This window comes from Homo sapiens, chromosome 10 (assembly GCF_000001405.40).
Source record: "Homo sapiens chromosome 10, GRCh38.p14 Primary Assembly".
In the NCBI taxonomy this organism is placed as follows: Eukaryota; Metazoa; Chordata; class Mammalia; order Primates; family Hominidae; genus Homo; species Homo sapiens.
The window spans coordinates 93,459,283-93,485,557 of record NC_000010.11 but is presented as its reverse complement, the minus strand read 5'-3'; the positions used below and the strand labels follow the sequence as shown (position 1 = coordinate 93,485,557).

Below are 26,275 nucleotides of genomic sequence, written 5' to 3'. Positions count from 1 at the left end.
ATACTCCACCTGTAATTGATTATGTATTATGTAAGGTTGGAAGTCATTTGTCTTTTTCTCCCACATGAATAGGTAAAAGGCAAATTAAAACTCCAGTGAGATGCTATTATATGCTCACCAGAAGGGCAAATGTAAAAAATCTAACATTGGTTAAGTATGACAAAAATTTAGAACAACAGGAAGTCTCATACACTGCTGGCAAGAGTACCATTGTGGAATATAATTTGGAATTACCTTGTAAAGGTGAAGAAATGCATACATTCTCTGGCCCAGCAAGCAATTCCACCCATAGATTAGACTCTAAATAGACTCATGCACATTTGTGCCAGAACAGTCTTGGACTGTTCAGAACAGCACTGTTTGTAATAGCCCCATTCCCTGAACTGTCCAAATGTCTGGCAGTAGTAGAATGAATTAATCAAATCTGGAGGCCAGGCGCAGTGGCTCATGCCTGTAATCCCAGCACTTTGGGAGGCTGAGGCAGGCGGATCACGAGGTAAAGAGTTCGAGAACATCCTGGCCAACATGGTGACACCCCATCTCTACTAAAGATACAAAAATTAGCCGGGCGTGGTGGTGTGCACCTGTAATCCCAGCTACTCAGGAGGCTGAGGCAGGAGAATTGCTTGAACCCGGGAGGCAGAGGTTGCAGTGAAACGAGATCGCACCACTGCACTCCAGCCTGGGCTACAGAGCAAGACTCTGTCTCAAAATAAATAAATAAATAAAATGTCAGAAACTCATACAATGAAATGCCATATAGCAACAAGAGTGAAGGAAGTAGAGCTACATGAATGAATTTCACAATATAATACTGAGAAAAAAGAAGTCAAACACGAAAGAATCCATTCTGTATGAGTCCATTTCTATAAAGTCATAATACAGCAAAGAATTCACAAAGTATGAACACATGTATGTGTGTACCTATATATATGAATATATGTGTTGTATGTAAAGTTCATAACATACAAAAGAATTTATATCACCAAACAAAGGTCATGAGCAAGCAAACCTAAACTGTTTTGTTGTTGTTGTTTTCGGTAAAAACTACAAAGAAAAGCAAGGAAATCATTACCATAAAAATCAGGAGAGTGGGCCAGGCATGGTGGCTCATGCCTGTAATCCCAGCACTTTGGGAGGCCGAGGTGGATGGATCACCTGAGGTCAGGAGTTTGAGACCAGCCTGGCCAACACGGTGAAACCCTGTCTCTACTAAAAATACAAAATTAGCCGGGTGTGGTAGTGCACGCCTGTAATCCCAGCTACCTGGGAGGCTGAGGCAGGAGAATTGCTTGAACCCGGGAGGTGGAGGTGGCAGTGAGCCGATCACCCCACTTCAATCCAGCCTGGGCAACAAGAGTGAAACTCCATCTAAAAAAAGAAAAAAAAATCAGGAGAGTGGTTACCTCTGGGAGAAGGAGGTGGATATGATATATGGGGTATTCCAGGGGCTTCTGGAGGACTGGCAATGTTCTGTCTTGACCTGGATGCTTGTTAAACTGTCACGTTTATGTAGTATGCATTTTTCTGTAAATATATTTCACAGTAAAAATGGCAAATAGAAAGCAGCCAGATAAAATAAAAGTAATAATCTCTATATTCCACTAAAACTGCCAACATGTCCACTAAATACAATAATGAACACAGCACTGGGTAATTGGTTCTTTGCTTTAAGCCTTGGAGAAACTCGTGGAGACAGAAGAATTCTTGTAGGTTAAGTCATGCTTATTCAATGTACTTGAAATGTTTATTTACAGGTGGGTCTGCTTGATGTGTGTTCTAAAGCAAAAAGAAGCCCAATGTTTCTTCATCCCAAGTTTTAGCCTTTTCTTCTGAAATATAACGAGATCCTGATTTAAAGTCAGCCTGCACTAACAGAAACGCTGTGAGACCACAAATAAGCATGAACTTCTTACATGTGCAAATTACTGTGTGCTTTGTGCCAGCTCCTATGCTATGACCTTTATCTTATAACAGCCTTTATCCCCAGTTCATAGATGAGGAAACTGAGGAAGAGAGGGGTTAAGAAACTTGCTCGCCAGCACGGTGGCTCAAGCCAGTAAAGCTCAAGCCAGTAAAGCTCAAGCCACGGAGGCCGAGGCGGGCGGATCACAAGGTCAAGAGATCGAGACCATCCTTGCCAGCATGGTGAAACCCCGTCTCTACTAAAAATACAAAAAAAAAAAAAATTAGCTGCGTGTGGTGGCGCACGCCTGTAGTCCCAGCTACTCGGGAGACTGAGGCAGGAGAATCGCTTGAACCCGGGAGGCAGAGGTTGCAGTGAGCCAAGATCGCTACACTGCACTCCAGCCTGGTGACAGAGCGAGACTCCGTCAAAAAAAAAAAAGAAAAGAAAAGAAAAGAAAAGAAACTTGCTAAGATGACGTAGCTCAGGGTGGTGAGGCAGAGTCTCACACTCAGATCTGGCTGACTAACCCCAGGCCGCCTCTTGTGATCTCAGCCAAGCTGCACTGTCTTCATGCACCCTCTGGGACAGAAAGACACCATGGGCAGCTGTAGGTCCAGAAACAGTGGGGAGTCACTTCTCCATTTTCACTGAAGGCAATTGGCAGCATTTGAAGAGCCGGGAAAACTTAGGCGCCCAGCTCTCACCTCTGAAGGGGTTTTGAAGAAATTCTATGTTCAGTCCTTTATATATATATATATATATATATATATATATATATATATATATATATATATATATATATAATTATTTATACATATATGTAATTATTTATATATCCCATGCCTGGATCGCGTTTACTTGAAATAAACGCTGTCATTCGTTTGCCGTCCAGTAAGAGGCACCCTTTAGCTGCTTTAAAAAAGCTGAACATAGGGTTACTGAGTGGGTGTGTTCAATGGCGTGAGAAGTAACAGCGAAAAGTCAAAAGCAAATAATGACTAAAGTTTTAAAACTCCTTGAAACTCAGAAAAGAATGAAAGCAGTGACGGAAAAATCAATTAATTCAGTTTCACGAACCATTGCTAAAAGGCAGCAACATTTTAGTGGTTTCCTGACCTACCCGTATTTCTTAGCTCCAAATTCATGTTGGTTTCATTTGTCGCACGGAATTATTTTTAGTTTAGGGTTTGTCCTTTTCACTTCCACATTTCCCGAATTCATAAGTCTGTGCCTGCGGCACTGCGTAGACGCGGGGAGTTCGGTATCAGTTTACACGTTGCCTTCAGTAAAATCCGCCAGAGGTCCACCCATTTTGCCTTTTCCCCTTCCTTGCCCTGGGAGAAATCCTCCCTTCACTGGGAGAGAACTTCTCTCCCAGGGCGGTGCGACCCGGAGCTCCAGCGCCCTAGTCTCCACTTCGTTTGCTGAAACTTGCTTTCTACCAGCTAAGAACCATGCTGCGAGTGATTGTGGAATCTGCCAGCAATATCCCTAAAACGAAATTTGGCAAGCCGGATCCTATTGTTTCTGTCATTTTTAAGGGTAAGAAAAAGTTTTCTTCTTTTTCTGAAGTCCTGTTTTGGAATGTTAGTTTCTTGAGTCACCTTCTTGAAAAGTCTGCATTTAGACAGCTGATGAAGCCAAGTCTCTCCAGCAGCGTTTGTTACCTGCGCAGGACAGGGGAGAGGACCCGTTTCTGGGGAAGGCATTTAATTTTCTCCAGGGCTTGAGACTCATGGAATGACCTGATGTTTTAGCTCTAAGAGTGTGATTTCTGTAAGCTCTTGGCAGAAAACGTATTTGCGAATCACTAAATTTCAGGTATCAACAAACATCTGTATTGGTTCAAAGTAAGTTTCAGTAGTCTTAGATGCATTTTTTCTCTGCCTGTGAGAAATGGGTAAAGGAGGAAGAAGAGCAATTAAATTGTTGGAGACACCATTACTCCTTGAACCAGCCTGACGCTGCTTTGATTGTCACTGGGTTTCTGGGAGGTGGGATGGGTGAAGTTCATAGTTTTATTGAGTTTTCCTGCCCTTTTGTGCCTTTGTAATTGTTTTTATATCTAAACTGTTGGGGAGCTTTTTTTGTACATTCTGTAGCTTTTAAATTGCTCATTGAGGAAAGAACTCTGGACAGCTAGTTTGCAATTTGGGGATCTAGTTCTATCTTGCCTGCTGAATGACCTTGGGCAAGTTACTTCATTTCTCTGGGATCTCAATTTTCTTTTCTGCAAAACAGGCGAGAAGGGTTTAGACAAGATCATCTCTAAAAACCTCATGGTTGGCTGAGCACAGTGGCTCCTCAACCCTGAGCCAACTTTGGGAGGCCAAGGCAGGAGGATTGCTTGAGCCCAGGAGTTTGAGGCTACAGTGAGCCGTGATCACGCCACTGCACTCCAGCCTGGGTGTAAAAATAAATAAAAATAAAAGGCTCATGGTAATTTTAAAAGGCTATTTTTCTATGACACTTGATTGCCATTGCAGGGGAGGGGACAGGAATGCTTGGTGTCATGGTACAATTTGATGTAAGTGACTTAGTTTTGGCTAAAGTGGGGTTTCTAAATCTCAGTGTGGAGGCTTTATCTATTTTGTTTGTCATTGGTAAGACTGCCAACTCACTTCTTGGCAAGAGGGATGGGAAAGAGAGGGAAAGGCAGAGAGAGTGGGAGCATGGATAGACATGTGTTTCCTGACCATGCCTTGCTACATTTCTCGTTTCTTCCAGGAGCCTGACTGCTACTCCCTGTCAGTTCCTGAGGCATCTATACCTTTCGCCTTTCTGTTTCCCGTTTTTCCCCTTTATTTCTCTTCTTAAACCTCTCTCTCTGAGGATGAGCAAGAAAATGAAAGAAATGAAACTCAAAGCTGGCTGGCTGGGTGTGGTGACTTCTGCCTGTAATCCCAGAACTTTGGGAGGCTGAGGTGGGTGGATCACATGAGGGCAGGAGTTCGAGACCAGCCAGGCCAACATGGCAAAACCCCATCTCTACTAAAAATACAAAAATTAGCCGGGCATGGTGGCACATGCCTATAATCCCAGCTACTCGGGAGGCTGAGGCAGGAGGATTGCTTCAACCCAGGAGGAGGAGGTTGCAGTGAGCCGAGATCATGCTACTGCACTCCAACCTGGGCAACAGAGTGAGACTCCGTCTCAAAAAAAAAAAAAAAAAAAAAAAAAAGCTGGCAAATTGTTGGTTGGTTAAAAAAAAAATCTAAAGGGCAAAAATTGGATTTAAAAAAAATTTAAAAAAATTTTTTTGAATAAGACTGGGTCTTGCTATGTTGCCCAGGCTGGTTATAATTCCCTTGCTCAAACTTTCTTCCCATCTCAGCTTCCCAAAGTGTTGGGATTACAGGCGTAAACTACCACGCCCAGCTTAAAATTGGGCTCTTAAAGGACAATGAGGTTTGAAAATCTGGCTAGTGAATATCATGGACTCACGTTATGTCAGAGTTTATTTACATGTGTTAGGTTTTATTAATTTTTTGTTTTCTTGAAGCAGTTACATAATAGAGACATAATATGAAGATTTTACATCCTTCATCATTGACATATAAAGACATTAAAATATATTTGGATCAGTCCGATCATGTAATTATTTAAGTATTATAGATTATAGAGGAATTGGAGTTAATACTATATTGAAATCTGACTTGTTATTTGTCTGGAGTTTGTATGCATTGATGAAACATTTTAAATGATGAAAAATATATCTAAGTCAATGAATGCAAACAATCAATTGAAAGTGGAAAACTTCAGTTAAGTTGGCAAATATAGTCTATACAAACAATTACACATTTAACTTTAGTCTCTTTTCTGGCCTCCTTTTTTCATACAAATCGAGTGGTAAAGTCATTCATTCATTTAGCTAACAAGCAACCTGACAGAGGAAAGGGCACTCAACTCAGAGTAGGAACATCTGCATTCCAGCTGACATTAACTCAATATCTGATTTAACCACCTGGGTCTCCAATTTCTCAGCTGTGGCATGATGGGAACTGGTCTTTAGATGCCTTCCGTCTTTTAGATTCTAATTTTCTAGTTCCAGGTATTGAGTTAGCTGCTCTCAGCAAGATGTGAAATGCATTGCCTTAGGTGCTGGAGGGGATATAGCAACAAACACAGCACTCTTCTTGCTTTCAGTCTATGTCGGTGGTTTAAAATCCTGGTGATGGCAAACCCTTTACAGGTGTGTTCCCAATTTTGAGCACTGCGTAAAATTAAGTAACATTAAGTTCTGACTGAACTGAGGATACTTATAGCAAAATACTGTCCATCAGAGGGAACATGGAACAAAGGCAGACACACTTCATAGTGTGGAGTGGGGCAGGGTATGGTAAACTGGAAAAAGCCCTACCATGCCTGTAGTCCCAGCTACTCAGGAGGCTGAGGCAGGAGAATCACTTGAGCCTGGGAGGCGGAGGTTCCAGTGAGCAGAGATCGCACCACTGCACTCCAGCCTGGGAGATAGAACGAGACTCCATCTCAAAAAAAAAAAAAGGAAAAAGCCATACCAGAAGATCAAGGCGGCATCAAAGAAAGTCCCTGTGTTAACAGAAATATGTAAACATTTTGCCTCTTGGGTAAATAAACAAAGTCAGGGCAGTAAGCAGCTCTTCTCAAACTATAAGACGGTGAAGAATGGCCAGGGGAAGTGATTGTTAATGGTGAAGCTCGCATAGACACTGTGAGGCCCTATTAGGCTATAGCTACACTGTACTTGGGATTGTGCTGTACTGACAACCAACTGGTTTACAGTTGACCTCAGTTTTTCGTGTTCAAACCCTTTCTTTCTTTCTTTCTTTTTTTTTTTTTTTTTTGAGACTGTTTCACCCTGCCATCCAGGAGGGAAGAGTGCAGTCAGTGGTGTGATCATGGTCTCGAACTCCTGGGCTCAAGCGATCCTCCCACCTCAGCCTCCTGAGTAGCTGAACTATAGGCACACACCACCATGCCCAGCTAATTTTTAATTTTTTTTGTAGAGACAGGGCCTCACTCTGTTTCTCAAGCTGGCCTTGAACTCTTGGGCTCAAGCAATCCTCCTGGCTTGGCCTCCCAAAGTATTGGGATTACAGGTATGAGCGCCCAGTTGTGTTCAACCGTGAGTGACCCTTCTGAGGCTGTCAAATTACTCAGGGCCTGGTAGGAACTAGGAGGATCTGGGGGTTGCTGTAGTCCTGGTGCATGGTTGTTGGTGATGTTCAGCAGCGCAGGTGTAGATTATGAAAGCCACAACGCTTATGTAATTTTTCATATCCTTCGGGTACACCAGGTTCCATGAGCCAGATCCGAATTGAGGCTGGAGTGAGTGCCTGTGAGCCAGGGGTGGCCATTCTGCCCTAAGTTCCATGCGGACAGCCAGGCTGTGAAGCTGAATCTAGCTGAGATTAGACTACACAGACCTCTGAGACCAATTTCAACTCTGAGACTTGATGATTCTTCCAAACAGTCCTCCAAACAGAACAGGTTGTTAAAAAACTTTTTAATTTTAAATAATATAATATTTTTAATTTCTAAAATTAAAAATGCATGTAGACATAAGATAAACAACCCAGAAGGGATTATGCAACTAAAAAGTGAAAATTCTCCCCACACCTCTTCTATTCTTTCTCTCTCCCACTGTTAGTCCTTCAGGGTCACCACTCTGAACAATTTGATTTGAATCCTTCTTGATCTTTTGCTCTAGACATATAAGTTGTCCCAACTACTGCCTGTTAGCAACAGTACTGCAGTGGGTGTCCCTGTGGTGCGTGTCTTTGTGAATATGCATATTTCATTTTTATTTATTTATTTATTTTTTAGATGGAGTCTCGCTCTGTCACCCAGGCTGGAGTGCAATGGTATGATCTCGGCTCACTGCAACCTCCACCTCCTGGGTTCAAGCGATTCTCCTGCCTCAGCCTCCTAAGTAGCTGGGATTACAGGCGCCCGCCATCACGCCCGGCTAATTTTTGTATTTTTAGTAGAGACAGGGTTTCACCATGTTGGTCAGGCTGGTCTTGAACTCCTGGCCTCATGATCCGCCTGCCTTGGCCTCCCAAAGTGCTGGGATTACAGGCGTGAGCCACTGCGCCCGGCCATGAATATGCACATTTCAAAAGCACAGCTTCTATCTTTGTGTGTGTTTGTGTGTGTTTTTCTTTTTTCTTTTTTTACACAGAGTTTCGCTCTTGTTGCCCAGGCTGGAGTGCAGTGGCATAATCTCGGTTCACTGCAACTTCCACCTCCCGGGTTTAAGTGATTCTCCTGCCTCAGTCTCCCGAGTAGCTGGGATTACAGGCATGCGCCACCACACCCGGCTAATTTTGTGTTTTTTAGTAGAGACGGGGTTTCACCATGTTGGCCAGGCTGGTCTTGAACTCCTGACCTCAGGTGATCCACCCGCCTCGGCCTCCCAAAGTGCTGAGATTACAGGCATGAGCCACTGCATCTGGCCTTTTCTTTTCTTTTAAAGGTGCTTTTGCTGGATCTTGCCTTAGGCTTCCATTTTCCCTTTGACCTATCCCTTGCTTCTGTGTCCAATCTCTTGAAAAGGTGATTGAGCGGAGGTTTTCTTGCATACTTTTATATTATTGTGCCTTTACAATGTGGCAACATTACATTCACATAAAACATCCATCTCCTTGGGTACGTAGTTGTTGCTACTATAGCATTTTTCTCATTCTCTCCTTACAATATCCCCCATTCCATCAGCCAGAATTTTCTCTCCCTTCTGGTCTTGTGTAAATCTTTTCCTTGTGGAATGGCTACTGCTACTGTCCAGATGGCCACCAGATAATTGTCATGTTATTACTTATTTTTTCCAGATTCCTGTCATTTTACTTGGACCTGTTTTTGGAATGTGAGCCTAGATATTTCTAGAATATCCCCCCTCTAATTAGCATATCAAACTTTGTAGTCTTGAGCAAACCAGTTAACCTCTCAGAGAGTCCTTTTTTCTTTTGAAAAATGGGGCTGTAATGGCTTATCTGAAAGGGAGTTAATCTCTAGACATCCCAAAGGCTGTGATGTATCCAATAGACACATGTGTATTTTTAGTAAAAACCTGCTTTGCTATTTGAAATTATAAAGTTGATTTTTTTTTTCAGTGGGGGACATTAACACCAAGAATATATCTTTTAAAGCATTTTTAAAATAAGCTCCAAAGCTATGCGATTCCACTTAAGAATGGGGAAGTAACTTCCTGGCCAACATGGTGAAACCCCATCTCTACTAAAAATAGAAATATTAGCTGGGCGTGGTGGTGGGCCCCTGTAATCCCAGCTACTTGGGAGGCTGAGGCAGGAGAATCGCTTGGACCTGGGAGGCGGAGGTTGCAGTGAGCTGAGATCGCGCCACTGCACTCCAGCCTGGCAACAAAGCCAGACTCCATCTAAAAAAAAAAAAAAAAAAAAAAAAAAGAATGGGGAAGTGATGTGAGAAAGAGCTCATGGATAGTATTCACTGTGGTTTGTCCAGGCACTTGGTGCGTTCCCCACAGAGAGCCTTGGTTCACCCAGTGAGCACCATAGGACTCATCAAGAAGATCCCTATCAGCTCAAACTGATAATCACACTACTCGGGTATTCCCATAAAACCACTGTATTGTATTGACAAAACAATCAGGAAGGCAAAAGTGTTTAATCTCCTGAGTCATTCCCATCCCTTTCTGGAGAACAAGGCTTAGAGACTCACTGCCTAAGGAAAGTGGCCCCACCCTATGGAAGCATGGGAATTCTCAAAGGTACACTCCCCAAAGGCACATTCTGCAGGGTCTCAGTCATCTATAAAGCTACAATGGCCCTTAAAAAATTAATTAACGTGCCTTGTTTTTCTTTCCTCCTTCACAACACATCTCACCTGCGTGCCCTCAGCTTAGGGGTGCTGGTATTTGTCTGGTATGGGTTTTCCTTTCTAATCACGGGTGTGTTTCTCCTTTACTGTAGGATTTGGCCCTGCCAAGAAGGTGTGGGATTGTTATATCCTCTGCAACACCCAGCACATCACTGATGTTGAATATACATTTTAAATATTGAGCATGTAGCAAAGAACTGGCAGGAAATTTCAGACACCTTAATGTGACAAAGTCCTTGATGCTTAGTCCTGAAAGAGACCCTGGGAAGTCATCCAATTGCCCTTTACGTTTAATATCCTCTCAGGTGTTTGTGAATGAGGCTTAGCAAAGAACCATGTCAAGTATTCATGAACCCTGAGTACAACCAGTTCCTAGCACCTGTTCTCTGGGGGCAAATTGGTGTATAAGACATTTTGCATTCTTGTTCCTGGCAAGGAAAATATGAAGCTGCCAGTTTTATGTTGAACCTTCATACATGAAACGTAGTATATAGAATGCCATGATATGGCAGTGGTCAGCTGACTCACTGTGTAATTTCTATTGAACAGCTGTTCTGTTGCACTGGGGTGTGCTTTGAGCAGGTCTGAGCACAGTTCTCAATCAGAAAAAGTTATGGGACATTTGATACCTTAAGCCTTATCAATTAACTTCTTACTGGGCATGAGGGTACAAAGGCCCTGAGCTCTGGGGCCAGGGATGCCTAAATGAGAATTCCAGTGGCCATCCCTAGTTGCTCATGAGCAAATACAATCTGCAGCTTCAAGCCCGGTCATGATGGCTCACGCCTGTAATCCCAGTACTTTGGGAGGCTGAGGTGGACAGATCACCTGAGGTCAGGAGTTCAAGACCAGCCTGGCCAGCATGGTGAATCCCTGTCTCTACTAAAAATACAAAAAACTTAGCCAGGCATGGTGGTGGGCACCTGTAGTCCCAGCTACTCAGGAGGCTGAGGCAGGAGAATTGCTTGAACTCGGGAGGTGAAGGTTGCAGTGAGCTGAGATGGCGCCATTACACTCCAGCCTGGGCAACAAGAGTGAAACTTCATCTCAAAAAAAAAAAAAAATCAGCTTCAGTGTTCTTAATAATATCTCCTGCCTTGCAGGGCTGTTTGAGGATTAAATTAATGTACATGTGACATTGCACATGGCAGTCTATAAATCTCCTTACCTATTTGATAACAGTTTCATGGAGCACTACAGTGCACCAGAGAGTATTTCTGGAACTAAGTCTAGAAAAATATGCATAAGATGGCTTGGATTTTCAGGCCTAGGTGACCGACTAGTTAGCACACAAGAATGAGATGCAAACCAGAATAGACATGAAAAGTTACAATCTGAGTAGATGAAAGAGTGAAAAAGCTTGTGGAGAAAGTGTCATTTGGCTTGGTTTTAAAGGATGAGTGGAAATTTGACAGAAATAATGGAAAAAAGACATTCCAGGCTTTGGAACAGTACAGGAGGACCAGAGAGCCATGGGGAGGAGTAACGTGGTATGAATAGGGATTGAACTTTACTCATCAACCATTGGGGAGCCGCTAGGCCGCAATGTGAACAGCAGATTAGTACTAGTCAGGGAGACTAGTAAGAAGGCTTACTAGTTGAGTCAAATGCTTCTCAGCACAGATGGAGCTCATCCCAGGACTGGAATCAGAAGGAAGGCACTAATAAGGAAAGACACTGAGGAAACAACCTGATTAAATTAAAGTGATAAGGGAGCCACACTGGACAGGCAAATTTGGCCATCCTTCCTCACACTGTACTGTGAAATGGAACATCAGACTGCCTTGCTTCCAGCTGGAGTGTGCACCCTGTGGGCGAGTGCAGGGCTGGTTGGGGTAGCTCAGCAAGAGGCCAGCACGAGGGCAGTAGCCACCTGAGGCGGCAGGGAGGCCACCAAGAGATCGAACAAAAACAGAAATACAAAGTGATCTTTGAAGACAAATTTTGCTGTCTTCCCAAAGATCAAATGGGGGAGCATTTCCTCAACCAAGCTGAGCCATGGTTCATTTGCATAAGGTCCTTCTCTCCCTAGCCTGTTGTACTATCTGAAAGGATAGGGAGTCATGGTTCAGAATTGCTTCATTACAAGGAGCAGATACCCACTTCAGCGTGCTCAAGGAAACCTTGATTTTTCTAAAGCTAGAAAGAAATCTGGAGTCCAGATCACAGACCTCACAAGAGCCAGAATCATGTCAGCTCCCCTCTCCTCATTTCCCAGGGACTGTGCAGCCTCCTGCCTCTGCTTCTCCCTGCACATGGCAGCCATTACTTTTCTGCATATTGTCTATAATTGTTGGCTCTCTGCAAATTGGCTGTCCTTAGTGAGGCCTCTTGCATGGGCTTTGGGTTGCTGCAAGGTGACTGGGTCTTGACTCTACATCCAACTGCAGTGGCAGCGTCTCGTGCATGAGATAGCTCAGAGAAAAACACCAATTGCCTTGGTTTTGGTCAGATGTTCAGCCCTGCTCCAATTAACTGTGGCCAAGGGGCATGGAAGGCCAAGACAAAGTGGGTAGACCAGATGTGTCTACTCACAGGGCAGCCTTCTGGGGGCCTAGAGTATGAACTCTGCAGCCTGTCTCCTTCCAGGGATTAGATCTGTTCTTTTCCATCTTTACTCTGTTGGTTGACATAACCTCTCACTTAAAAGAACCCCCTTCTTTCTGTAACCAACACAATACTTGGAAAGGGATGACCTTTGGATTCGAAAAATTAATTTTCACTCCTGGTTTTATCCCTAGGAGCTGGGTGTCTTTGGGCAACTATATTTCCGAGCCTTCATTTCCTCATCTACAGAGTGTGGAGAATAATCTATACCTCACAGGGAGGTTGTTGGGAGCAATTGTGATAAAATATATAGAGAACTTGTCGTAGTGCTGACACAGAATGTTGCATGACAGGTGCTCATGTCTTCTGGCTTTTATGCCCCACTTCTTCCCCCATTGCTGCAGGGACATACAGAGTCCTGGGGGACATTTCCAAGGGGTGGCCCAGGCTTAGCTGTTCAGAATAAACAGGATGCTGGTCAGCTGTGGCTGCACAAACAGCTTGAAGGCATTGCCAAAGTAGGTTCTTTGTTTTTAATTGTGGTAAAACACATATAACGTAAGATTTACCATCTTAACTATTTTAAGTGTACAGTTTTGTTTTTGTTTTTGTTTTTGTTTTTGTTTTGAGATGGAGTGTTGCTCTGTCACCCAAGCTGGAGTGCAATGGCGCCATCTTGGCTCACTGCAACCTCCTCCTCCTGGGTTCAAGCGATTCTCCTGCCTCAGCCTCCCAAGTAGCTGGGATTACAGGCACATGCCACCATGCCTGGCTAATTTTTGTATTTTTAGTAGAGGAGGGGTTTCACTATGTTGGCCAGGCTGATCTTGAACTCCTGACCTCAAGTGATCTGCCCACCTCGGCCTCCCAAAGTGCTGGGATTTTATTTCTAATTTCCTGAGGAAATGGCCTACTGTTCTCCATAGATCCTGCACCATTTTGCATTCCCACCAGCACTGCACAAGTGTTCCAATTTCTCCACAGCCTTGACAACACTTCTTTTTTTCTTCTTTATTTCATAATAGCCATCTTAATGGGTGTGGGCATAGTAGGTTCTTAGCAACTCTCTGACTTGGATTTTCAGCTCACACTTGCTGCATTAGCTCAGAGTGAGAATTGCTGCAGTGCAGGCCTCGTCCTCAGTGATCAGCAGGAAGGCAGCTCTCCTGTGATGGAAAGCCCACCTCGCAGGAGCCCAGCAGCAGCCTGAAAGAGCCTGGTGGCCTCTTGGCCAGTGGAGCCCAGCTCTGAGGTCCATGTGGCCAGAGTTGTGCTGGGAACCATAGTAGAGCCAAAGACGTGTGGGAAATAGCCTTGGTCCTCTGCAATACCAGGTCTTCCAGTTGGCCACCGTGCCGAGCCTTTTTTTTTTTTTTGAGACAGTGTTTCACTCTTGTCACCCAGGCTGGAGTGCAATGGTGCAATCTTGGCTCACTGCAACCTCCACCTCCCAGGTTCAAGCAATTCTCCTGCCTCAGCCTCCTGAGTAGCTAGGATTACAGGAGCATGCCACAATGCCCGGCTAATTTTTGTATTTTTAGTAGAGAAGGGGTTTTGCCATGTTAGCCAGGCTGGTCTCGATCTCCTGACCTCAGGTGATCCGCCCACCTTGGCCTCCCAAAGTGCTGGGATTACAGGCGTGAGGCACCACGCCCCGCCTTCATTTCGTTTTTAGGAAGTAGGTATTATTGACATCTTCATTTTCCCTATGAGGGAGCTGAGGCAGAGACAGGTCAGGATTTAACTGGATTCCAGATGGTCCATGCGTCTTCACTGAGCTCAGCATGGATGAAGAAACAACTCACAACCTCTGACTACACAACCAACTCACATAAACAGTTCCTCTCTCTCTGAACAGATTGAGTTGTTTAGTGGTTGGAGTCATTAGGATCCAGTCTGAAAAAGGAAGAAAGTGTACCAAGAACAAAAGAACTTAAAAAAAAAGAAAAAGAAAAAAAAACCCATCCCCCCTGGGGTGAGTTTGCAACAGAGCAATGAAAGCCTTTATGACATGCTGTGACTCAGAAGCTCAGAGGTGACATAGCTTAGCAGTGAATCAGTTCCACTGATAGTCAAGTTTGAGCCATTTTATTAGTGGAGACTAGAACCATAACTTCTTGTAATGTAAAGTATTAAAAATCTAATATTTGACTGGCAGGGCGAGGTCCACTTCATTTCACCTCCGTTTGTTAGTTTATGACCTTCATCATCTTTTTCATCTCAATAGTGCAGCTTATAAATTGAAAAAAAAAATTCCTTGCCCTTCTCTCTCTTTCTTTCAATAAATAAAATGTTATGTTTTTGCTTACCCCTCCTAACAGACTGAATTCATTGCTAGGACACTCCCTGTCTCTGTCCCTCCTATGTTTAGCAGCTCCTTCCTCATTCCAAGCATGAATCCATTCAACAAGCATTGATCCAAGCATTGATTGAGAGGGTACTCTGCCAGGCAGTGTGCTTAGCTCTGTGTATAGGGTGGGGAACAAAGCAAGTTTGGCCCTGCCCACATGCAGCTTATAGTCTAGGCTGTAAATGGGGCCAGCGTTCAGTGAATTAAGAGTGTAGGCTGGGTGTGGTGGCTCACACCTGTAATCCCAGCACTTTGGGAGGCCGAGGTGAGCAGATCATTTGAGGTCAGGAGTTCGAGACCAGCCTGGCCAACATGATGAAACCCTGTCTCTGCTAAAAATACAAAAATTAGCCAGGCATGGTGTTGGGCACCTGTAGTCCCAAGCTACTTGGGAGGCTGAGGCAGGAGAATGGCTCGAACCTGGGAGACAGAGGTTGCAGTGAGCCGAGATCGTGCCACTGCACTCCAGCCTGGGTGACAGAGCGACTCTGTCTCAAAAAACAAAAAACAAAAAAACAAAAACTTCTGGAAAGGAGACATTATCATTATTGGCAATTATATTGATGGTGATGGTTTACTGGCTGTTAAGCACTGTGCTACATGCTTCACATGTACTTAGTTATTTAATTTTAACATATTCCTTTATTTTCTTTCTTTCTTTCTTTGTTTCTTTCTTTTTTTTTTTTTGAGATGGAGTCTCGCTCTGTTGCCCAGGCTGGAGTATAGTCACGTGATCTCAGCTCACTGCAACCTCCACCTCCTGGGGTCAAGCGATTCTCCTACCTCAGCCTCCCAAGTAGCTGGGATTTCAGGTGCGCACCATCATGCTTGGCTAATTTTTGTTTTTTTAGCAGAGACTGGGTTTCACCATGTTGGCCAGGCTGGTCTCGAACTCCTGACCTCAGGCGATCTGCCCGCCTTGGCCTCCCAAAGTGCTGGGATTACAAGCGTGAGCCACTGCGCCCGGCCTACTCCTTTATTTTCTCACCAAAAAAGTAAAAATAAAAATAAGAAAGAAGTCCTCACTTGAGAGCTGAACAAACTGAGTCTCGGGTAGAGTGGGTGAAATGCCTCACTCAAGGTCTTACAGCAGGGTCTAGGTGGAGCTGGAACACTAATGCTTACCGCCAAGGCTGTACCACCTGTGCTGTCCCTTATGCAGCCCTGAGTGCTTGGTCTTGGTCGCATCCAAATCTGGCCCATCCTGTGGTCAGGCACGTGAACTCAGCCCACATTGCTGGCAATCTGGGCTCTGCTGCTTACTCTTGGCAGTAACTTCCCTGGACAAAGCCAGCCCTGAGGGCATCTGGTCACACCATGCTGGGGCCTGGGGCATTGGTGCCTTTGAGCTGGACATCTCTGGTCTCAGAGGCCTTGTCTGGGGCCCCAAATTCCCTCTTGTTTGCCCTAGGGTGTTGGACACATTATGATGGCTTCCATGTGTGAAATTGCCTTGCAGGGTACTGACAGTGTAGAAAGCTTTTTCATGGGTGTAATCTTTTTTTTTTTTCTTCAGAGATGCAGTCTAGCTCTGTCGCCCAGGCTGGAGTTCAGTGGCATGATCTTGGCTCACTGCAACCTCTGCCTCCCAGGCTCAAGTAATTCTCCTGCCTCAGCCTCCCAAGTAGCTGGGACTACAGGAGTGCACCACCATGCCCGGCTAATTTTTTGTGTTGTTAATAGAGACAGGGTTTCACCAAGTTGGCCAGGCTGGCCTCGAACTCCTGACCTCAAGCGATCCACCCACCTCGGCCTCCCAAAATGCTGGGATTATGGGCGTGAGCCACCATACCTGGCTCATGGGTATAATCTTATCTGTTCTCCACAACAACACAAGCAGGTGCTGAAGGCAGATATTCATACCGATTGTGCAGATGAAGATATTTAGACTCAGATATCAAGGGAGGCCAAAGCTGTGTAGCCAGAAAGAGGCAGGGAAGGACTAGAAGCTGGGTCTTGGGATGCTTGGTCCTTTGCTTTTTCCCACTGCTTCATATATGGTTGGTTTTCTTTGTGCTTGGCGTCTTCTCATTTTAATTCCACCCTCTGTCCTTGTCCCAGGCCCCACTGACAAACAACAGCTCACAAACACTCCTGACTCCCAGCTCTCCCTCTGATCTGCAGCAAACAACCAGCCCAGCTTGCTAAAGCGCCCAGAGGTGAAAGCCATGCACAGCATAGGAAGGAGGGTTGAGGAAAGTAGATTAAACTGCTGGCAGGGCCCAAAATTCCAGTGAAAGAGATGACTAATGATGAGACACCAGGGTCTGAAGCTGAGGTTAAATTCAACTGGAAATTCTTGGCCTGGGAGGGATAGGATCTAATTATCAAGATTTTTCACTCCGCGCTTTGCATTTGTTTTCAAGGTTGTTTTAAGTGACTATTTTATTTTCTCTTGATACCATCTCTTGGAGCGAGGAAGGACAGAGGACTGGATCCTCCCAAAGCTTGCCTGAAGGAAGCAGTTGATAGTTCTGATTCCAACACCTGGTAATGTCCCCTGTGTCTTGGGCATGGGTATGCTTTCTCATTTGATCCTTGCTGCAATTCTACCAGGTGGGCTTTTGTATCCCCTTTTTAGAGGACACTCGGGACTTAAGAGGCACTGTAGGCCCTACCTCCTCAGCTGGGTTTGAAATGTATTTGCTGAGTACTTGAGACTTAATTCATTCTCTAGCAAATTATGTGAAATATACTAGTCAGAAGCCAGAGAGGTTGAGTGGCTCCAGAGCCAGAAGACCTATATTCAAATTCTGGCTTTGTTTCTTACTAGCAGGTAATCCTGGACAAGCTACTTAACTTTCTTGTGCCTTGAATAAGGATCATAATAATAATAGGTAACATTTACAAAGCCCTTAGAAGAGTGCCTGGCAGATGGTAAACCCTATAGTTGGTAGGAATTATTCCTGGGCATTAGATACCAATCTTTATTAATGAAGAAGTCTAGATATGAAGAGCTGGAGTAAGTAGACCAAGTTCACACCACTGGAAGGTCTGAAAAAGTGACAGGTCGCCTGGCACCCTCTGCCTGCAGTGGCAGTTAAGAGCACAGGTTTGCTGAGAATGATGGTTTCCAGTTTCATCCATGTCCCTACAAAGGACATGAACTCATCATTTTTTATGGCTGCATAGTATTCCATGGCATATATGTGCCACATTTTCTTAATCCAGTCTATCGTTGTTGGACATTTGGGTTGGTTCCAAGTCTTTGCCATTGTGAATAGTGCCGCAATAAACATACGTGTGCATGTGTCTTTATAGCAGCATGATTTATAATCCTTTGGGTATATACCCAGTAATGGGATGGCTGGGTCAAATGGTATTTCTAGTTCTAGATCCCTGAGGAATTGCCATACTGACTTCCACAATGGTTGAACTAGTTTACAGTCCCACCAACAGTGTAAAAGTGTTCCTATTTCTCCACATCCTCTCCAGCACCTGTTGTTTCCTGACTTTTTAATCATTCTCAGCAAACTATCGCAAGGACAAAAAAACCAAACACTGCATGTTCTCACTCATAGGTGGGAACTGAACAATGAGAACACATGGACACAGGAAGGGGAACATCACACTCTGGCGACTGTTGTGGGGTCGGGGGAGGGGGGAGGGATAGCATTAGGAGATATACCTAATGTTAAATGACGAGTTAATGGGTGCAGCACACCAACATGGCACTTGTATACATATGTAACAAACCTGCATATTGTGCACATGTACCCTAAAACTTAAAGTATAATAATAATAAAATTTAAAAAAAAAGAGCACAGGTTTGGAAACAAGGCTGACTTGGGTCTGAAGCTCAGCTCTGCCACTTACTGGCTCTATGATCTCGGGCAAGTCAGTTAACAACCCTGATCCTCAGTTTCCTTATCTGTAAAATGAGCATACTCATATCTCCTATTTTTGTTGTTGTTGTTTGTTTGTTTGCTTGTTTGTTTGAGATAGGGTCTTGCTCTGTCACCCAGGCTGGAGTGCAGTGGCCTGATCACGGCCCACTGCAGCCTTGATCTCTAGGGCTCAAGTGATCCTCCCACCTCAGCCTCCTAAGTGAGTAATTGGGACCACAGGTGCAAGCCACCATGCCAGGCTAATTTTTAAATTTTTTGTAGAGATGGAGTCTCATTATGTTTCCCAGGCAGGTCTCAAACTCCTGGACTCAAGCCATCTCCCACCTCTGGCCTCCCAAAGTGCTGGGATTACAGGTGTGAGCACTGCGCCCAGCCTCCCTTGTAGGGAACAGACGTGAATGTGTTTAATATGCCCAGCACACAACACAAACACCAAGGCAGTCAAGCCAGGTGCCTGGCCCTCCTGGGAGCCCTTCCCAGCAGCCCTGGCAGTGAGCAGAGCTGGGACATGACCACGCCCCAGCATCAGCTTTTAGGAAGCAGATTCTGGCTGAGTCATTCAAATGGACTGGACTTCACTGCAGCTCCCTTGGAAAATGTGGGTTTGATTCAAGAGCCTGTACATCTGAAAGGTCATTCCCAGAGGCCAGTGGGGCACTGGGTGTGGAGAGGGGAGCAGTCACCCCTCCTGCCTTTTTGCTGGGGCATTTCTGTTTATCAGTGATATCAGTGACTGTTTCAGAAATGTCCCAAACAGCCTCGCTTTGTATCCTGTTGCCACTTGCCCAAAATGCCTTTCTCCTAGAACCTGTTTGGCAGCATCTTCCTGGAACGATAGGGCAGCCAAGGTTGGAAAGCCAAAGTCAGAGACACTCCTGGAGAGGGGTCCACCTGATGGGCCCTGTGTCCCTGTGCTCCCCCAGGTGTCTCTCAAGTCCCCAGGGTGGAGGCGTTTCTGCCAGCCCTTCTCAGAAACTTCTCTGCCCCTTGTTGATAGTAGAAATTAGCCAGCTCCTGGAGGCTGCCAGGCTGCCTGCCAGAGAGGAGCAGTCACTGCTCACATGCCAGCTGCCCCAGGGAAACTCAGAAGCCTGGAATGGAGCCACGTGGAAGAAATATTCCACCAGGGCGGTCCCAGCCTCACAGGGCACTTCCTCCAGTCACAGGGGCCCTGCCCTCCGGAGCTCCACAGCCTGGGAACTCCCTGGGGGGATGCAAGGAGGCTGCCCTGGTGCTGTAATAAGAAATCATCTAGCTGTGTGCGGTGGCTCACGCCTGTAATCCCAGCACTTTGGGAGGCGGAGGTGGGCGGATCACCTGACGTCAGGAGTTCGAGACCAGCCTGGCCAACATGGTAAAACCCCATCTCTACTCAACATACAAAAAGTAGATGGGCATGGTGGCACATGCCTACAGTCCCAACTACTTGGGAGGCTGAGGCAGGTGAATGGCTTGAATCCAGGAGGTGGAGGTTGCAGTGAGCCGAGATTGTGCCACTGCACTCCAGTCATCTCAAAAAAAAAAAAAAAGAAAAGAAAAAAAAGAAAGAAAAAAGAAAAGAAAAAGAAAGAAATCATCTGATAGCTCTCATTTGTTTAGTGCTTACTGTGTGCCAGGCCCTGGGCTGGGCACTTTGTATTCATTCTTTCATTTAATCATTAAAGCCGCCTAGTAATCACACTTATATGAACTTATGAAGTCCAATTTACTCCGTCATGGAGAAATTACTATGTAGTAAGCGTTGTGGGGGGAATAACAATATTAATAATACATAGTCTCAGCCTTCAAGGCATCACCCTCTTGTCTTAATCCTCCAACTTTGGAAACTAATTGCTTTTTGTCTCTTTCGACCGGGGTTTGAATCCCAGCTCCATCACTTACTAGCTGTATGACCTCTAATAAGTTGCTTAACCTCTCTGTGTCTTGGTTTCTTCCTCTGTAACTGGGAATGATCATAATAGAATTTATCTGTTAGAGTTGTGAAGATTAAGTGAGAGAATCCATGGGAAGTACTGGGAACAGTGACTCAGTTCAGAGCACTTAATAATAAGTGCTAGCCATGTATGGGTGTGGTTCAGGGGTGTGTGAAATGTTAGGCAAAATGGCAGATGAATTCATATGGGGCTTTATATATCTCAAAAGAAAGGAGGCATGACCCAGAGACCTAGAAAAGGGGAAGAAGTACTTCTGAATGGGAGATCAAATGTAGACTCTTGGCTGAACCTAGAGATCTTGTTGTTCTATTTTGTCTACCGAAGAGCTGAGTTACTTAGGGAGCTTTTGTAGACAGCACCCTAACTTTTCCTGAGGCCATTTCAGAAAGACACAGCAATCTAACCGTTCAGGACTTGGGGGGCACATCATAAAGGTTATGTACCATAAGTCTGGGGGAAAACTTAGAGATTATATATCTCGTCTGAATGCATCAGTTTATATATGAGGGACTCTGAGCTTGGGGGTTCAGCCTTATATTTTCCTAAGATAACAGCTCAAAGGAAGAGAAGTCACAGATATGAAAGTTCAGTCAGAGGGGCTGGGCCGACATCTGTGCTTTTCCCTGCAGGATTTTTAGGATCAGTGAGACGGTGTGTATTTGGAAGCATTTCAAATGTGTTACCATCGTGTTACTTCCGTGGGCACCTGGTGTTATTGGTTGGACTAGTCAGGATTCTCCAGAGCAGCAGAAGCAATGGGATGTGTGTGCATGTGTTTGTGCAGAGACAGAAAGAGAGATTTTAAGGAACTGGCTTATGCAGTTGTGGGGGCTAGCAAGTCTGAAATTTGCAGGGCGGGCCAGCAAGCTGGAAATTCATGTAAGAGTTGATGTTGCAATCTCTAGTCTGAATTCCACAGCTTAGAAAACTCAGGCAGGGTTTCTATGTTAGAGTCTAGAGGCAGAATTTCTTCTCCAGGAAACCAGTTTTTGCTTTTAAGACCTTCAACTGTTTGGATGAGGCCCATCTAAATTATAGAGGGTAATTTTGCTTTACTTAAAGTCAACTGAGTGTAAATGTTTATCACATCTACAAAATACCTCGACAGCAACATCTGGACTTATGTTTGACCAAACAATTAGACACCACCATAGCCTAGCCAACTTGACATTAAAATGAACCAGCGCAGCTGACCACCGGCACAGATGTAGCAAGCCAGTCTCAGGAGTCCTGATGTCTTTCAGGCCTTTTTTTTTTTTTTTTTTTTTTGAGACAGGGTCTTGCTCTAACACCCAGGATGAAGTGCAGGGGTGTGGCCACTGCAGCCTTGACCTCCCAAGCTCAAGCAATCCTCCCACCTCAGCCTCCTGAGTAGCTGGGACTATTGGTGCATGCCAGTATGCCTGGTTAATTTTTAAATATTTTGTAGAGATGGGCCGGGTGTGGTGCCTCACGCCTGTAATTGCAGCACTTTGGGAGGCCGAGACGGGTGGATCATTTGAGGTCAGGAGTTTGAGACCAGCCTGACCAAAATGGTGAAACCCCCATCTCTACTAAAATACAAAAATTAGCCGGGCATGGTGGTGGGCACCTGTAATCTCAGCTACTCGGCAGGCTGAGGCAGGAGAATCACTTGAACACAGGAGGCGGATGTTGCAATGAGCCAAGATTGCACCACTGCACTAGATCCTGGGCGACAGAGTGAGACTCCCTCTCAAAAAAAAAAAAAAAAAAAAAAATTTGTAGAGACGAAGTCTCACTATGTTGCCCAGGCTGGTCTTGAACTCCTGGACTCAAGCGATCCTCTGGCCTTGGCCTTCCAAAATGTTGGGATTACAGGTATAAGCACCGCACTGGGCCAGGCCTTTTCAATAAGGTTCTGACACACTGGCTGGTAGGTGAACAGCAAAGGAAATGGTTCCGCGCAAGAGGGCGGGTGGTTTGGCTAAGAGAGCTGTTCAGTTCTCCCGGAAACCTTGTTTGGAGGCTGGCATTGGGGTTAATTACTGCAGTGGTGACCTCCGCAGAACTGAGTGAGAGGCAGGCGTAGCTAATCGGAAAACAGGAAATGTCCTGAAGAACGACTTGAGCCCTTGAGCACACTCAGAGTGTGCTCTGCATTTGAGTCAGTTGTTATGTTCTGAGCTGAAAATATTTTATTGCTTTCCATAGGAAGAAACAGTCATCTTAATAAAATTAGACGCAGGAGCCAGGTTGGGGGGTAGGTAATGTGGAGAAAGGGGAGGGAGTTTCCTGTAATTCAATTTGATGTTCAGTGCCTGCAGGTTTAACCTTTTTTTTTTATTTTTACAGAGGTAGAATAAAATAATTGACTAATATAAATATGTGACTGGCTGCTGATAAGAAAAATAATTTATCTACTTTTTTTTTTTTTGCCTGATGTGTTTATGTGTGAGAATAGGTTTTCAATAAAATGTAACATATACACATTTTGATAAACATCAGAGCCTCCTTCTTGAAAGAGATTGAGCTGGGTTTCTCCAGAAGGGTAGGAGCCAATGCCAGCCACTTAGTTTTTCCTTATTAGCTAGGGAAATGGGAGGTGCAGTGGTTAAATGCATGGGCTCAGGAGTCATACTAGACCTGGTTAGAGGGCTTCGTCCTAGCCCTGTGATCTTGAGCAAGTTACCTAACCATTCTGGGCTCTCTTTGCTTCTCTGCAAACTGAGGATAATAAAACAGTGCCTACGTCATAGGCTTGCCAGGAGGATTCAATGAAATGATGCATGTAAAGGGCTTAGCAGGCCGGGCACGGTGTCTCACGCCTGTAATCCCAGCACTTTGGGAGGCCGAGGTGAGCGGATCACTTGAGGTCAGGAGTTCGAGACTAGCCTGGCCAACATGGGGAAACCCTGTCTTTACTAAAAATATAAAAATTAGCTGGGTGTGGTGGCACACACCTGTAATCCTAGCTACTCAGGAGGCTGAGGCAGGAGAGAGATTGTAGTGAGCAAAGAGCGTGCCATTGCACTCCAGCCTGGGCAACACAGTGAGACTCTAACTCAAAAAAAAAAAAAGGTGGGGGGCTTAGCAATGCCCAGCCTGCAGTGAGCATCCCCTAGAGGTAATGCCATTAGCATCAACCTCACACAATGAGTGCCAGGAGCTGCAGGAAGTTCTGGTTGAATAGCTCCACCTGGTCTGTGGTCAACTGGCATCTGCCTGGACTCAGCCACTCCCCTTTGTTTTCAACACACAATTGAATCATGTGTTCAGGAACATGCATTGGGAGAATTGTTGGGCCACTTGGTTTTTCTCATGAGTTATAAAATTTTGAAGTTATAAAATCCAGTTTCTAATACCCTCCTCCTTTAAGTACTTATATCAGCCAAATGAAGCTTAGCCTGGTACTTGAGGCTTCACAGTGAGACCATAACCTTCCCACAAAGCCCGTTTGCCCCCTACCCAGTTCTATGCTCTTTGGTTCCAGCTGGTTGGGTCCTGGAGTGTCCCCAGATGTGACATAACTGGTTCTCCCTCCTCCATGCCTGATCCACCCACCCTATTGTGTCTACTGGAGTGAGCTCGTCTTCTGGCTCCACATTTTCAACCCCTCCTTGCCCTTGAATTCTCATCTAGCTCAGCCTCTGCATCTTCTGTGCACACAGCCTGAAGTCACCTTTCTTTCCTCTGAATTTTTCTGTGCATTGATACCCCTCTGATAGCAACTGAAGTCCTTTCTCTATCAGTCCCGTATAGCCACATTTCCTCTCCCCACTAGACCCCCTGAGGGCAGGAACCATGTCTTGGGTATTTTTGTGTCTCCTACAGTGCTCAATGCCTGGCAATTTCACAAACATTTGTTGGGTGGAAGAATGAAGGAGCTGATTAATGTTTGCGGAAGAACTCACTCAGTGAACCATTTCTGTGGGCTGAGCTGTGAGGTCTCTTGGCCTGAGCTGACCAGTCATTATTTCTGTTTATTCCCCCTCTGACAGGCAGGAAGAAACTTCAGGATGAGAATGAGACAGGCAAAAGCCTGGTGGAGCTTTGTGCTATTTCTTTTCTTTTCTTTTCTTAGATGGAGTTTTGCTCTTGTTGCCAGGCTGGAGTGCAATGGCGCGATCTAGGCTCACTGCAACTTCCGCCTCCCAGGTTCAAGCGATTCTCCTGCCTCAGCCACCCGAGTATCGGGGATTACAGGTGCCCACCACCATGCATGGCTAAATTTTGTATTTTTAGTAGAGATGGGTTTCACCAAGTTGGCCAGGCTGGTCTCAAACTTCTGACCTCAGGTGATCCGCCTGCCTCAGCCTCCCACAGTGCTGGGATTACAGGTGTCAGCCACCGCACCTGGCCTGTGGCACTTTTTTTTTCTTTTTCTTTCTTTTTTTTTTTTTTTTTTGGAGATGGGGTCTTGCTCTGTTGCCCAGGCTGGAGTGCAGTGGCTTGATCTCGGCTCACTGCAACTTCCGCCTCCTGGGTTCAAGCAATTCTCCTGCCTCAGCCTCTCGAGTGGCTGGGACTGCAGGCGTCCACCACCATGCCCGGCTAATATTTTTTGTATTTTAGTAGAGACGGGGTTTCACCCATGTTGTCCAGGCTGGTCTCGAACTCCTGAGCTCAGGCAGTCCACCCGCCTTGGCCTCCCAAAGTGCTAGGATTACAGGCGTGAGCCGCCATGTCCAGCCAGCCTGTGGAACTTTTTAAGACTAAGAATTATCTTACACTCTTCTGTTTCCTGTTACTGGCACACAGTGGATGCTTAATAAATGTTTGTGAATGAATGAATGAACAAATGAATCTTTTCACACTCCCCAGCTGCTGACTCTGGAACAATCCTGTGCCTCCTGAGGGCAGAGAGGATCCATGGTCCCAGGCTTGGCCTCAAGGTAGCTTGCAGCGTGTCTTCCGTGTTCTCTGTTTCCTGGGTCAGGAACCAGGCTTGGGACTTGTTTCATGTTGACAAGCGCTGGTTTTTTCTGTGACCTCCCTGGAGCCCTTGTCCCTGCCTTGGCTCCCTGGTTGGAGTCTTGGGGACTTGGAGACTGGAATTTTGCTTCAGTGCCATCTTTCAGTGATGCAAATCCTACCCCAAGCCTGGGTGCTCAGTTTCTATTGCATTATTTTCTGCCTTCTCCTTGCTTTCCCTTCTTGCTGGGACTTCTTGGAATCTCCTATCTTCTCTCTTGAAGGACCGCCATGGTCTCAGGGTCCAGATCCACTCCTTTGAGACTCAGTTCTCCACCCCCCCAAGCCCCGGTTATGGGAGCAGGGTAGTGGTAAGGTAGAGGGAGATTGGTGGTACTATTTCATGCTTGTTGAATGCTGGGATTCCTAACCTTTTTCAAGCACATTTGAGAATCTGATGAGAACAATGAGCTCTTTCCTCCAAGAAAACTCACAGATGCAATATTTTGTGTATTAGAGCAAATAATCTTGGAGAGTTTCAGGATACCCTGGAACGCAACCATAAACTTCCTTATGGACATTTTCCAAGACGCCAAGCCCATCACATGTGTTACATTTACGAATCTTCATTATCCAGCATTTCTGACAGCTTCCAATAAGGCACTGTGGCATGGTGGCAAACACACACAAACACAGATTTTGGAGCCAGAGGGATGTAGTTCAAAATCTGGCTGTTTCCTTATTAGCTGTGTGATTGAAGGCAGGTTAACTACTCTCCATTTTCTTGGCTTAGAAATGGGAATGACCATGTTTACCTGGAAGAATTGTCTCAATGGTTAGAGACACTGTGGTAGAATGCACAGCCTGGCACCTAGAGATGATTCTGTAGAGGGAGCAGCTACAATTACACATAGAAACCATTTTGTCCAGTTCTATTTAAGTTAAAAATTCTTTGCATGTCTCCTGTTTCTCTCAAGAG

At 45.2% G+C, this 26,275-nt stretch overlaps 1 protein-coding gene across 8 annotated transcripts in view, besides 2 other annotated features; it reads left to right on the top strand.

The window, feature by feature from the left end:
- The first annotated feature begins 3,223 nt into the window (after positions 1 to 3,223).
- MYOF (myoferlin) overlaps positions 3,224 to 26,275 on the top strand; it is a 175,906-nt gene continuing 152,854 nt past the window's right edge. For 6 of the 8 annotated variants that reach the window (XM_047425049.1, NM_133337.3, XM_005269694.6 and 3 more), the window contains exon 1: positions 3,224 to 3,451. Coding sequence is in view for 6 of the 8 variants with exons in the window: in NM_133337.3 (NP_579899.1) it covers positions 3,364 to 3,451 (88 nt within the window). In the remaining 2 variants the exon portion in view is untranslated. Of the gene's footprint in view, positions 3,452 to 7,242; positions 7,379 to 25,213; positions 25,278 to 26,275 lie in introns of those variants that run through there. The other 2 variants (XM_047425048.1, XM_017016069.2) reach the window with 2 other exon arrangements.
- Positions 15,395 to 16,244: an enhancer, noted in NCBI's record as "H3K27ac-H3K4me1 hESC enhancer chr10:95229071-95229920 (GRCh37/hg19 assembly coordinates)". NCBI's record gives its function as "activates a minimal SCP1, AML or CMV promoter by ChIP-STARR-seq in primed H9 embryonic stem cells {active_cell/tissue: H9 hESC(primed)}" and the evidence as "EXISTENCE:reporter gene assay evidence [ECO:0000049][PMID:30033119]".
- Positions 25,136 to 25,758: an enhancer, noted in NCBI's record as "H3K27ac hESC enhancer chr10:95219557-95220179 (GRCh37/hg19 assembly coordinates)". NCBI's record gives its function as "activates a minimal SCP1, AML or CMV promoter by ChIP-STARR-seq in naive H9 embryonic stem cells {active_cell/tissue: H9 hESC(naive)}" and the evidence as "EXISTENCE:reporter gene assay evidence [ECO:0000049][PMID:30033119]".